A 14035-nucleotide genomic window follows, 5' to 3' on the forward strand; every position below is an offset into this window, starting at 1 on the left:
GTTCAGCTTTCATGTAGTTTTGCAGTTTTGAGTGAGTTTCTTAATCCTGAATTCTGATTTGATTGCACGGTGGTCTGAGAGACTGTTACGATTTCCATTCTTTTGCATTTGTTGAGGAGTATTTTACTTCCAATTATGTGGTCAATTTTAGAATAAGCGTGATGTGCTGAGAAGAATGTATATTCTGTTGATTTGGGGTGGAGAGTTCTGTAGATGTCTGTAGATGTCTATTAGTCCTGCTTGGTCCAGAGCTGAGTTCAAGTCCTGAATACCCTTGTTAATTTTCTGTCTTTTTGATTTGTCTAATATTGACAGTGGGGTGTTAAAGTCTCCCACAATTATTGTGTGGGAGTCTAAGTCTCTTTTTAAGACTCTAAGGACTTGCTTTATGAATCTGGGTCCTCCTGTATTGGGTGCATATATATTTAGGATAGTTAGCTCTTTTTGTTGCATTGATCCCTTTACCATTAAATAATGCTCTTCTTTGTCTCTTTTGATCTTTGTTCGTTTAAAGTCTGTTTTATCAGAGACCAGGATTGCAACCCCACTCTTTTTTTGCTTTCCATTTCCTTGGTAAATATTCCTCCATCCCTTTATTTTGAGCCTATGTGTGTCTTTGCACATGAGATGGGTCTCCTGAATACAGCACCCCAATGGGTCTTGACTCTTTATCCAGTTTGCCAGTCTGTGTCTTCTAATTGGGGCATTTAGCTCATTTACATTTAAGGTTAATATTGTTATGTGTGAATTTGATCCTGTCATTATGATGCTAGCTGGGTTTTTTGCCCATTGTTTGATGCAGTTTCTTCATAGTGTCGATGGTCTTTACAATTTAGTATGTTTTTGCAGTGGCTGGTACCGGTTTTTCCTTTCCATATTTAGTGCTTCCTTCAGGAGCTCTGGTAAGGCAGGCCTGGTGGTGACAAAATCTCTCAGCATTTGCTTATCTGTAAAGGAATTTATTTCTCCTTCACTTATGAAGCTCAGTTTGGCTGGATATAAAATTCTGGATTGAAAACTCTTTTCTTTAAGAATGTTGAATATTGGCCCCCACTCTCTCCTGGCTTGTAGGGTTTCTGCAGAAAGGTCCACTGTTAGTCTGATAGGCTTCCCTTTCTGGGTAACCTGACATTTCTCTCTGGCTGCCCTTAACATTTTTTCCTTCATTTCGACCTTGGTGAATCTGACAATTATGTGTCTTGGGGTTGCTCTTCTCGAGGAGTATCTTTGTGGTGTTCTCTGTATTTCCTGAATTTGAATGTTGGCCTGTCTTGCTAGGTTGGGGACATTCTCCTGGATAATATCCTGAAGAATGTTTCCCAACTTGGTTCCATTCTCCCTGTCACTTTCAGGTACACCAATCGAACATAGTTTTGGTCTTTTCACATAGTCCCATATTTCTTAGAGGCTTTGTTTGTTCCTTTTCATTATTTTTTCTCTAATCTTGTCTTCACGCTTTATTTCATTAAGTTGGTCTTCCATCTCTGATGTCCTTTCTTCTGCTTGATCGATTTGACTATTGTGCTTCACAAAGTTCTTGTGCCGTTTTTCAGCTCCGTCAGATCATTTATGTTCTTCTGTAAACTGGTTATTCTAGTTAGCAATTCCTCTAAGCTTTTTTTCAAGGTTCTTAGCTTCCTTGCATTGGGTTAGAACATGCCCCTTTAGTTTGGAGCAGTTTGTTATTACCCACCTTCTGAAGCCTACTTCTGTCAATTCATCAAACTCATTCTCTGTCCAGTTTTGTTCCCTTGCTGGTGAGGAGTTGTGATCCTTTGGAGGAGAAGAGGCATTCTGGTTTTTGGAATTTTCAGCCTTTTTGCACTGGTTTTTCCTCATCTTTGTGGATTTATCTACCTTTTTTTTTTTATTATTATCCTTTAAGTTTTAGGGTACATGTGCACATTGTGCAGGTTAGTTACATATGTATACATGTGCCATGCTGGTGCGCTGCACCCACTAACTTGTCATCTAGCATTAGGTATATCTCCCAATGCTATCCCTCCCCACTCCCCAACCCCACCACAGTTCCCAGAGTGTGATATTCCCCTTCCTGTGTCCATGTGATCTCATTGTTCAATTCCCACCTATGAGTGAGAATATGCGGTGTTTGGTTTTTTGTTCTTGCAATAGTTTACTGAGAATGATGATTTCCAATTTCATCCATGTCCCTACAAAGGACAATGAACTCATCTTTTTTATGGCTGCATAGTATTCCATGGTGTATATGTGCCACATTTTCTTAATCCAGTCTATCATTGTTGGACATTTGGGTTGGTTCCAAGTCTTTGCTATTGTGAATAATGCCGCAATAAACATACGTGTGCATGTGTCTTTATAGCAGCATGATTTATAGTCCTTTGGGTATATACCCAGTAATGGGATGGCTGGGTCAAATGGTATTTCTAGTTCTAGATCCCTGAGGAATCGCCACACTGACTTCCACAATGGTTGAACTAGTTTACAGTCCCACCAACAGTGTAAAAGTGTTCCTATTTCTCCACATCCTCTCCAGCACCTGTTGTTTCCTGACTTTTTAATGATTGCCATTCTAACTGGTGTGAGATGGTATCTCATTGTGGTTTTGATTTGCATTTCTCTGATGGCCAGTGATGATGAGCATTTGAACAGGCATCCTACAAAATGGGAGAAAATTTTTGCAACCTACTCATCTGACAAGGGCTAATATCCAGAATCTACAATGAACTCAAACAAATTTACAAGAAAAAAACAAACAACCCCATCAAAAAGTGGGCGAAGGACATGAACAGACACTTCTCAAAAGAAGACGTTTATGCAGCCAAAAAACACATGGATTTATCTACCTTTGATCTTTGATGTTGGTGACCTTTGGATGGGTTTTTGTGTGGATGTCCTTTTTGTTGATGTTCATGCTATTCCTTTCTGTTTGTTAGTTTTCCTTCTAACAGTCAGGACCCTCTGCTGCAGGTCTGCTGGAGTTTGCTGGGGATCCACTCCAGACCGTGTTTGCCTGGTATCACCAACAGAGGCTGCAAAACAGCAAAGATTGCTGCCTGTTCCTTCCTCTGGATGCTTTGTCCCAGAGGGGCACCTGCCAGATGCCAGCCAGAGCTCTCCTGTATGAGGTGTCTGTCAATCCCTGCTGGGAGGTGTCTCCCAGCCAGGAGTCACAGGGGTCTGGGACCCACTTGAGGAGGCAGTCTGTCCCTTAGCAGAGCTTGAGCACTGTGCTGGGAGATCCACTGTTCTCTTCAGAGCCAGCAGGCAGGAACCTTTAAGTCTGCTGAAGCTGCGCCCACAGCCACCCCTTCCCCCAGGTGCTCTGTCCCAGGGAGATGGGAGTTTTATCTACAAGCCCCTGACGGGGCTACTGCCTTTCTTTCAGAGATGCCCTACCCATAGAGGAGGAATCTAGAGAGGCAGTGTGGCTACAGTGGCTTTGCCAAGCTGCAGTCAGCTCTGCCCAGTTTGAACTTCCTGGCAGCTTTGTTTACACTGTGAGGGGGAAACCACCTACTCAAGCCTCAGTAATGGCGGATGCCCCTCCCACCACCAAGCTTGAGCATCCCAGGTCAACTTCAGACTGCTGTGCTGGCAGCAAGAATTTCAAGCCATTGGATCTTAGCTTGCTGGGCTCCATGGCAGTGGGATCCACTAAGCTAGACCACTTGGCTCCCTGGCTTCAGCCCCATCTCCAGGGGAGTGAACAGTTCTGTCTCTCTGGTGTTCCAGGTGCCACTGGGGTATGAAAAAAAAAAAAAACTCCTGCAGCTAGCTCGGTGCCTGCCCAAAATGGCTGCCCAGTTTTGTGTTTGAAATCTAAGGCCCTGGTGATTTAGGCACCCGAGGGAATCTCCTGGTCTGTGGGTTGTGAAGACCGTGGGAAAAGCATAGTATCTGGGCCGGGATGCACCGTCCCTCATGGCACAGTCCCTCACAGCTTCTATTGGCTAGGGGAGGGAGTTCCCCAACCCCTTGCACTTCCCAGGTGAGGCGACGCCCCACCCTGCTTTGACTAGCCCTCCATGGGCTGCACCCACTGTCTAACCTGTCCCAATGAGATGAGCCGGGTACCTCAGTTGGGAATGCAGAAATCAGCTGCCTTCTGCGTTGAGCTCGCTGGGAGCTGTAGACCAGAGCTATTCCCATTCGGCCATCTTGCCAACCACTGCATGGGCTTTATATCTTTTGCATTTCAAGGGTTTGTTTAGGTAGAACCTTCTGATTTTTTTTTTTTTTTTTTTTTTTGAGACAGAGTTTCACTCTTGTCGCCCAGGCTGGAGTGCAACGGTGCGATCTCGGCTCACTGCAGCCCCTACCTCCAGGGTTCAAATGATTCTTTCCTGCCTCAGACTTCCGAGTAGCTGGGACTACAGGCGTGTGCCACCACGCCCAAGTAGTTTTTGTATTTTTAGTAGAGACAGGGTTTCACCATGTTGGTCAGGCTGGTCTCGAACTCCTGACCTCAGGTGATCTGCCTGCCTCAGCCTCCCAAAGTGCTGGGATTACAGGTGTGAGCCACTGCACCCGGCTGTCTTCTGATCTTTTTAAACAGGATGTTCTCATGATACGATTTCTATCCATCTGTTCTTACCCTAGATTCTCAAGGCTGAATAAAGAACTGGTCAGGTGGAATTGCTGCTTTCACGTAATCTTGAACTTCTCTGCTTTGCTTTTGGAATGAAATGCCGTGGCTCCAAACTGTCCCTGGTCAGGGTCCTCCCTCACAGCATTACTCCAACCATCTTCTCTGTCCCAGCTTATTCTATTTCTCAACTCCCAGGCTTAACCTGCCTAGACCTCTTCCTCATCCTTGATCATCCTCTGTGTGTGGGGGGTCCCAGGCTTTTGCTGAGTTTACCTCCACCACCTGGTGTGCCTGCTCTTTCTGGCCTCACCTGGTAACATCTCCATTCTTCCAGGCCACTTCAAATGCCCCTTCGTTTGGAGCCTTTCCTGAAGCCCAATAGGACATGAGCTCTGCAATGTTTGTAATGAAGGAGTAATGAAGCCAGATGTTGCCTCACGTGGTTCCCTGCTTTTCCTACAATGCAGTTTGAGTCTTTTTTAGAAACAGCGATCACCTCTGCAAACAACCAGCAACCCCACTGGTGCAGTGGGCATTTATAATGTTGAGTAACATAGTTTAGCCAAAAATACATACAATAAAGAAGAACTGGCCTCATACCAACATATTTCATGATGATTCAGAGATTATTAAGTGGTGCCAATTTCAAAAGCCTATCTGAGCACACAATTTCATTGCAGGGTTGTCCAATCTTTTGGCTTCGCTGGGCCACATCGGAAGAAGAAGAATTGTCTTGAGCCACCTGTAAAATACACAAACACTAATGATAGCTGATGAGCTAAAAAAAAAAAAAAAAAAAAAAAAATCGCAAAAAAATCTCATGTTTTAAGAAAGTTTACAAATTTGTATTGGGCCATATTCAAGCCATCCTGGGTCACATGTGGCCTGTGGGCTGTGGATTGGACAAGCTTGCTCTAGAGCCATAGACAAGGTTTGTTGGTGGTGTAGGACGACAAGAAAAGGTGACCTGGGCCCCATCACACGCAGGGCCAAGAGGAGCAGCTCCACTCTGCAGGCCCCACCCCCGCCACTCATGCAAATGAAGCTGTCCTCAGGCCTAGCAACTTGCCCTCTGCCCTCTTCAGCCTCAATACTATGCTGGCCTCTGTGCTGTCCTGGCCAATGGAGATGGGGACAAGGGGCTCCCCAGGGCAGCTGGAAGTCAGCTCCTGCTAGATCACTACTCCCTCCCACCCAGCTGATGGGGAGAATCTCTGGTGGAGCCATCCATTTTCTGGCTCTGTCTTACAGCCCAACCAGTGACATTGCCATCTTCTCCCATTTTCCAAGCTCCTCCCAGCCCCCTCCCCAGGCGTCCCCTCTGTCAGGTAGTGAGGGTCTCCTTGGGAGGCAAGCAACCAGTAAGGACAGTCAGGGCCACTTCTGGGTTGGAGGGAGGCAGACCCTGATCCAGAGGGAGTCCTGCTCATGGGTCCTCCAATGCTGCATGTGATTCCCCACTCTTTCCACAGTGCTCATGCTGTGACCCCCACCTGGAACCCCCCTACCTTAATTTCATCCCAACTCCTACCCATCCTCCAAGGCTGGCTGAGGTCTCACCTACCCTAGGGGCTTCTTGACCATTTCCCAGCCGCAGAGCATCTGTCTCCTCGTACTCTCGGCTCTGGCTTTCATTTATTTAGTCTAGAGCTAAAGCACATGGGCTATAGTCAGGCTGCCGGGACCCAGGCTGTGTGACCCTGGACAACTTACCCACAGTGTCCTCAGTTTTCGTATTTGTAAAATGGGAATACTCATTGTGCCTACCTTGTAGGGTTATTGTGAAAATTAAATGAACTGGGCCATAGGTCCAGCTACATACTAAGAACTTCATACATCTTATCTTTTCTCTGGATAGCCTGTATTTTTCAGGTCAGTTTATTGTTATTTAACTTTACATAGTTTACATATTGTCTTCTTAATGAGATTAGAGGTCCTCTGAGTGCTATAAGTAAGCTGTTGATGGTGCCTCTTTGTAGTCTTCACAGCACCTAGCCAGTAACCTACACACAGTAGGTGCTTAATACTTATTGTTTAAATTCAATATAGTGCTAGCAGTGTCATGTGGTCTGCAAAATAGATCATACCAAAATGTAAGTCATGGATCAGTATAACTCCCAAAGGCTTCTAGTTTCAGGTAGACTTTGCTGCAACACAAACCAGCCTAAAACATGGTGGTCTAAAAACAGCAATGACGATTTATTATTTCTCATGATTCTGTGGGTTGACTCGGGAGTTCTGTTCATTTGCAACATTTAGCTGGAGGGTCAGTGGGGCTGGAGGGCCCAAGATGACCTCACTCATGTCTAGCCCTTGGTTCTGGCTGGTGGCTGGGCTCCATGGTTCTTCTTCATGTGACTGCTCATGCTCCAATAGACTAGACTAGGCTTCTTAATAGCATGGTGGTGACTCAGGATTTTAAAAGTGTTACAATCAAAGGTATATTAGCATCCATGTCTAGGTTCTGGAACTTGCTGTGTCACTTTTGTCATACTCTATTGATTAAAGCAAGTCACAAAGCTGGCCCCAGTTCAAAGAGGTAGTGAAATAGATATCACCATTTGAAGGTAACACACCCTTGGTAAGAAGTTTGGTTAGCTTGTGAGATGACAATCTTCATAAACTTTCTATGTCATGCTTTACAGTTGAACAGTTGAACAAAGTTGCTCACAAGCATTTGCTATTTGAGCCTCATAACAACTCAAAATTCCTCTGAGGCAGGAAGGAGAGGTATACTATCTTTAAAATGTAGAGTAGAAGGCTAAATTTACACATGTTCCTCAGACTCATACAGTCAATTAATAGAATTGCACTCATGCAGCAATTTCCTTTTTTTGCTTTGAAATATTTCAGTCCTACAACAAGTATAGAAAAATAATACTCACACATGTATCTTCCACCTCGCTTAAGAAATAGGATGTTAGCAATTCACTGAAGCTTCCTGAACATCAGTCACCAATCACATAGCCTCCATTTCACTAACTGCTTTCTCTAGGATAATAGCCATCTTGGATTTGGTGTCTATCATGTCCATGCATAAAGTTACGCATTTTCCACATGTTTTGTTGTTGTTGAGTTGTTTTTTGTTTGTTTGTTTGTTTTTGTTTGTTTTTTGTTTGTTTTAAGACAGAGTCTTGCTCTATCACCCAGGCTGGAGTACAGTGGCAAAATATCGGCTTACTGCAGCCTCCACCTCCCAGGTTCAAGTGATTTTTGTGCCTCAGCCTCCTGAATAGCAGGGATTACAGATTTGCACCACCATGCTCGGCTAATTTTTGTATTTTTAGTAGAGACAAAGTTTCAGCTTGTTGGCTAGGCTGGTCTCGATCTCCTAACCTCAAGTGATCTGCCTGCCTTGGCATCCCAAAGTGCTAGGATTACAGGCATGAGCCACCGTGCCTGGCCTTCTTTCCACATATGTTTTTATCCGTCAGTTACAACTACCATATTTCATTGTTTCTAAGGCACATTTGTTTTTTCACATTTTCATCTCTCTGAAGTCAGGATGCTCTCATCATTGGTGACATCTTCCAAAAGCAGTCAGCCAGGTGGCCGCTGTATCACAGCCATCATGGCCGTACATTCTCTGGCATCACAGGGACAAGAAACAAACTTGCAGAATTGGTGTCAACATGTGGGAAAAGATTCTGGAGACAATGGCAGGGTACTCTTCTTACCCTGAGGAACCAAATGGCTATGAGGAGGGGGTAGGGGAAGAAGGGGTGGCAAATCAGAAATGTTTTAGCAAGATTCCAGAGCAGGAACAAAAAGTAGGTTAGCTGCACCTAACTGCAAAAATAGCTTGAGAGTACAATGCCAATGACTTTGTTCTTTTATAGATTCTTTTCAAAAATGCTGTATCACCAATACTCAATTTGCATGGAAGTTTTATTGTGCCAAAAAACACAGACACCAGGAAAGAATTCTAAGAAGTCAGATGTTAAATGTGGAAAAATTTATAGAATACCTTAATTGATTATGTTACTTATATTTTCCTCTTTTATGCATGTATAAGAGTAATATATGGTTTAAAAAAACTGTCAAATCAGTGTGGAATTGTAAGGGACAAGAAAACATTTTGTCAGAGTTTAATTCTCAGCATTTTTTCTGTCTTAATGGTGCACAAACTAATAGTCTATCTCATAAACTTTATTTTTATTTATTTATTTTTTTGGAGACAGAGTTTCACTCTTGTCACCCAGGCTGGAGTGCAACGGTGCCATCTTGGCTCACTGCAACCTCCACTTCCCTTGTTCAAGCGATCCTCCTGCCTCATCTTCCCAAGTAGCTGGGATTACAGGCACATGTCACTGCACCCAGCTATTTTTTGTATTTTTAGTAGAGACGGGGTTTTCCCGTGTAGGCCAGGCTGGTCTTGAAATCCTGACCTCAGGTGAGCCGCCTACGTTGGCCTCCCAAAGTGCTGGAATTACAGGTGTGAGCCAGCCCGCCCAGCTATCTTATAAGCTTTAGGTAAATACTGTTAAATTGTATCTATAATTCTGTAAACCACACTTGTTTGCCTGACATTATGTTTTTGAGGTTTTTCAATTTGCTAAATCTAGGCCTGCTTCATTCATCTTAACTACTGTATAACATCCCATTGTATAAATATACCATGTTTTATGTATCCTTTTTATCCATTCCCCCATTTATGGGCATTTAGATTGCTTCAATTTTTTTTAATTTCAAAGAACGTAGTTATGGGTATCTTGTACAGAGCTCCTTGTGAATAGAATTTCTGAATCACAAATAATACACATCTTTGACTTAATAGACATTCTCAAATCATTCTACAATGTGTCAAATTTGCAATCTGATTATTCCTGTATGAGAGGTCCTGATTTCAAGGGCCTCTTCGTTGAACTTCCATCCTCCTCTCTCCTCTTCATTGAACTTCCATCCTCCTCTCTAGTTCCCTCTAACTCACTCCTTTATATAGCCCAAGTGACCACTAAAATACACAGCAGATCAAATCACATCTTAGCTTTAAATCTTTCCATGGATTTCCACTGTGATTTCCAACAAGACCGCAATGACTCACTGGGCCCTGAATTTGCTCCAGAGCCTCAACTCTTGCTGTCACTACATCTGACCAGACCCACCCTCAACATTACAACCAATGCTTCAGAATCCTCTTAGCTCCTTTTCCATAAGAGTCCTTTCTCTCACCCTCTGTATACACCATTTTCTCTCCTTGGAATGCTCTTTCTATTAAAACCTCTCCTGTCCCACCTAAGCCCAAATTTCCCTAATTAACTCTATTCACCATACTATGTCTAAACGTAGTCACCTCTTTTCCCTGGGAGCCTTCTTTGGCTCCCACTCCCCCCACACCCACCATCATCACTGGAGTAAGTACCTTTCCCATATCCTCTGTAGCATATTTGACAGGCACTCCCCCATCACAGCATCATCACACAGTTCTAAAATCACCTCTTTGCTGGTTTTACTCCCCTACTAGACTTTGAAGTCCCCAAATTGAAAAGGAGGGGAACAGTGTCTATCTTGTTCACTGCTGTATTCTCACCCGATATGCAGTTTATACGGCACTCATAAATACTGTGTTTGTTGGATAAACAAGTACATGAAGCAAGTCAGCACTTGAATCTAGATCATTTGATCTGAATTCTCATTTCATCCAAGACAACTTCTCTTCCTAAAATAGAAATTACTACACAAGCCATCATGAGGAGGAAATGCCAGAGATAAAATTTGGAATTGGGGTGTCAAACTATAAAAATTCCTCTAGGTTTGACGGCAACTTCAAGCCTTATAAGTGGTCTCTTGGGTCTAGGCATGCCATTTATAGCATGAGGAGGGAGAGAAGGAAGGAGTCCACTGGGATGGTCCTGTTTGCAGCCACCTGTAATGCACAGCTTGGTAATGGAAAGCACACCTGGAGATGTTTGAGAAGAAATCAGCCATTCCCAACATAGGATAGAAACAAAATGGAAAAGGTTAAAGTTAACATGGAGAGATTAAAAATCATTTGGAATTATTTCATAAGGATGTCCTGTAGTTTTTTGACATATATGTATTTTAAGACAAGAAATGAATTTGCCAGGTCCTGACAGCTCTCTCTTACATCAAGAAAAATGAAAATATATTTTGTTTCTAAAATGCCTACATCAACTATGGGTCTTCAGCTGAATCATAGTATACTGGATTTAGGAAGCCAACAACTTCCTTCTGAGTTAAACATCAGAGACTGGCATCCCCTAAGTCAGTGGTTCCTAAACTCTAGCATACATCTGAATCACCAAGAGACTTACAAAAACACAAATTGCTGCCGCCACACACCTCTGAGAGTTTCTTATTCACTCGGTCTGGGTAAGGCAGGAAATATGCATTTCTAAAAAGTTCCTAGAATCATTAAAAAAAGATGAAGTATTAATACATGCTACAACATGGATGAACCTCCAAAACACTATGCTAAGTGAAAGAAGCCACATACATAAAGTCATAGATTGTGTGACTCAATTTATATGAAACACCTAGAACAGGCAAATCTGTAGAGATGAAAAGTAGATTCATGGTTTCCAGAGGCCAAGGTGAGGGGGAAATGGGGACTGACTACTTAATGTGTATAGGCTTTCCTTTTGGAGTAATGAAAACATTTTGCAACTAGATAGAGGTGATGGTTGCATAACACTGAGGATGTACTAAACATGAGTGGATTGTTCACTTTGATTGTATGTTATGTGAATTTTACCTCAACAACAAAAAGTTTCTAGGTAATGCTGATATGGTCCAGAGACCACACTTGGAGAAGCATTGACTTTAGTTACAAGCACAGAGAAGAGACGGAAGTAAGCCAACTTCCAAAATGGATGGAAGCCTCCACGTGTAATCCAGCAAGCCTGTCTACAGCTGAGAACTCAGAAAGGCTGAAATAGGCTGTTGCACTGGAAATCTTCACTCTCAATTTGGGCTCGGACCAATAGCTGGTAGCCACTTCCACATTCCAAATTGAAGTCCTGAACCACCCAAGCAAAGGACGGGGCTGAATCCAGTTGTACTCATCTCAGCTGACCAATCACCTCTGGCTTATAAAGAGGACTTTAAGGAATGAGGGAAAGTTGGCAAATGGACAGATAATTTCTTTGGATATAGGCGCTGGCATTCTGTGAGGCTGCCCTCATGCCTTGGGGAAGGGGTGAGAATTCTTCCCTTTTCACTTCACATGTGCCCATCTACCCATCTCTGGATACTGTTTGCAGGCCTAGGGCCATTAATCTTTTTAAAGAACTTGAGAAGGTGAAGACCATTTCATCCCCACTGCAACATGTAAAAAGAGAGATCACCTGGAGCCAGAACAACAAAGCTTTACTCTCAGTTCTGCCTCTCACTAATTCACTGGCTTGACCAATTATTTACTTTCTCTGAGCCTCAGTTTCCTCATCTGGAAAATGGGAATAAGAGTGACTTCTTCATAGGGCTTTTGTGAGAACTAAACAAGATAACCTTTGAAAGCACTATAATATGCTTTATGTATCATGGTTATTATTTGCCACAATTAGAATGTTGCTCTACCACTGTACCCACTGATCCAGTGTGCCTAAAAGGCTCCAAGGGATGCTCCTCCTCCTGAGAGGTGCAGCCCCCTATCTTTTTTCCTATAACTACTCATGAACGATGGTATCTACATGTGTCACAATGTAATATGGATCTGGGTATTATTGGAGGAAAACCTATTCTGCATAGAAGACAAGAAAAACAAATAGGAAGTATGGATAAGTAGGTTGACACCTGCAAGACAAGTTAGAGCACAAAGAAGAGGTAAATGCTGAACATAGAAAGGAGAGAATGGAATGACTGAGAGGAACCTATTGTAAATGACACAGTCAATATCCATGAGGCCTCAAATCAACCCAATTGATGATGGCCATTCTGGCCTTATATGTGGTCTGCCCAAGAAGCGCATATGAAGGCCATAGTGCTTCTCATCAGGCTGAAGGGTGAGCTACAGCTGCCTTCAGGAGTGCTTATTCCTGTGTTTCAGCAAAGGGACAAATGTGTGTGTTGCTGACTGTAGACATCTTTCATATGCCTCTCTCCCTTGCTTACATATCCACTCTGTACATACATACACAGGACATGGTGGGGAGGCTGATGCAGCAGAGAGAGAGAACAAATGAACATTGCTAGCACAGGGTGCAGACAGTGGGATCTTCCATCCACTGAGATCTTTCTCTAAGTGTATTAGCCTACTCCACATGTCTCCTTGCTTCTCACTATGTGTTTTAAATGGAATCAATAAACCAGCTCATTCAAGTGTTTTACTTTGTTCTGGGAGACTTTCTGTTCCCTGTCTTTAAGAGAGCTTGCCTGGTGTGTTTTGTGAGGCTGCCATTACATCAGGGTAGTTTCCCACATGGCACACTCCTCATGCCTTTGCACACATGGCCTGTGCCCTCTGCCTGGAATGCCCTTTGTTGGGCTCACACCATTTACTCTTCGAAACCACAATTGAATATCAGTTTTTCTGCAAAGCCTTCCCTCATCCTGTCCCAACTGTCACCCCACCGTAAATGTCTGCCCCTTAATATTTTGTCTCCATTGTAAGACTTATCACACTGGACCATACATGTGTGTCTTCTCATTTTTCCCTCCTTCTGTATGCCATAATCAGCTTGAGGGAAGGAACCAGGTACAACTCCTGATGCACAGTAGGTGCATGCAAGTATCTATGCCAAAAGTGTCTGCAAAAAGGACTGATGTATGACAACTGATGCTTATAGGACCTCCTACTGAGAGAGATGGTAAAATCATTTAGAGCCAAAATTTTTCAGTCTGCTTCTAGAAGTTAAGCCAGAAAATATGGATACATTTTATTTTCGGAAACTTTCCATGGCAATAAAACACCACTGCAAAGTTAGAAGACATATGACAAACAGGGACATTTTGAAAATTATATCACAAAAGGTTAATGTTCCTAATATGTAAAGAAGTACTAAAAATAGATAAGAAAAAACCAATAATCCTATAGAAAAGTAGCGGGCGGGGAGGGAGTAACAAGTAGACAGACCAGATAAGAATTGTCAGTGGTTTGTAAACTTATTACAAGATGTTCAACTTTACTCAGAATTAGGAAAATGCAAATTAAAACTCTTTGGGGATAATATTTTTTACCCACCAGATGAACAAGAATATTAATGTTTAGCAAAATGCTTTATGGCAAGGTTATGGGGAAACTGGCATTCTCATACATTGCTGGAGGAAATGCCAAACATTAGAAACATTACAGGAGGGATCTTGTAGCATCTTGTGCACACTCCTTCACCCTTTGACCTAGTAAACACACTTCTAGAAATCTATCCCAAAGTTACACTGCAAAAACACAAAGGCAAAAAAGGTGTATGTGGAAACTATTGTTCATTGCAGTTCTATTCATAATGGCAAAAGAATGGAAAGACCCAAATGCCCAAGTATAAAAAATTGTTTGATGAAGCTAGACAAATA

At 42.9% G+C, this 14035-nt stretch overlaps 1 long non-coding RNA gene across 1 annotated transcript in view, besides 2 other annotated features; it reads left to right on the forward strand.

The window, feature by feature from the left end:
* The window catches only part of TMEM252-DT (TMEM252 divergent transcript), a 103426-nt gene that overhangs the window by 49441 nt on the left and 39950 nt on the right, over nt 1-14035 (forward strand). The gene's annotated exons all lie outside the window — the stretch shown is intronic.
* Nucleotides 5109-5609: an enhancer, noted in NCBI's record as "H3K4me1 hESC enhancer chr9:71210490-71210990 (GRCh37/hg19 assembly coordinates)". NCBI's record gives its function as "activates a minimal SCP1, AML or CMV promoter by ChIP-STARR-seq in naive H9 embryonic stem cells {active_cell/tissue: H9 hESC(naive)}" and the evidence as "EXISTENCE:reporter gene assay evidence [ECO:0000049][PMID:30033119]".
* Nucleotides 5610-6110: an enhancer, noted in NCBI's record as "H3K4me1 hESC enhancer chr9:71210991-71211491 (GRCh37/hg19 assembly coordinates)". NCBI's record gives its function as "activates a minimal SCP1, AML or CMV promoter by ChIP-STARR-seq in naive H9 embryonic stem cells {active_cell/tissue: H9 hESC(naive)}" and the evidence as "EXISTENCE:reporter gene assay evidence [ECO:0000049][PMID:30033119]".

Source organism: Homo sapiens, chromosome 9 (assembly GCF_000001405.40).
Source record: "Homo sapiens chromosome 9, GRCh38.p14 Primary Assembly".
Lineage (NCBI taxonomy): Eukaryota > Metazoa > Chordata > Mammalia > Primates > Hominidae > Homo > Homo sapiens.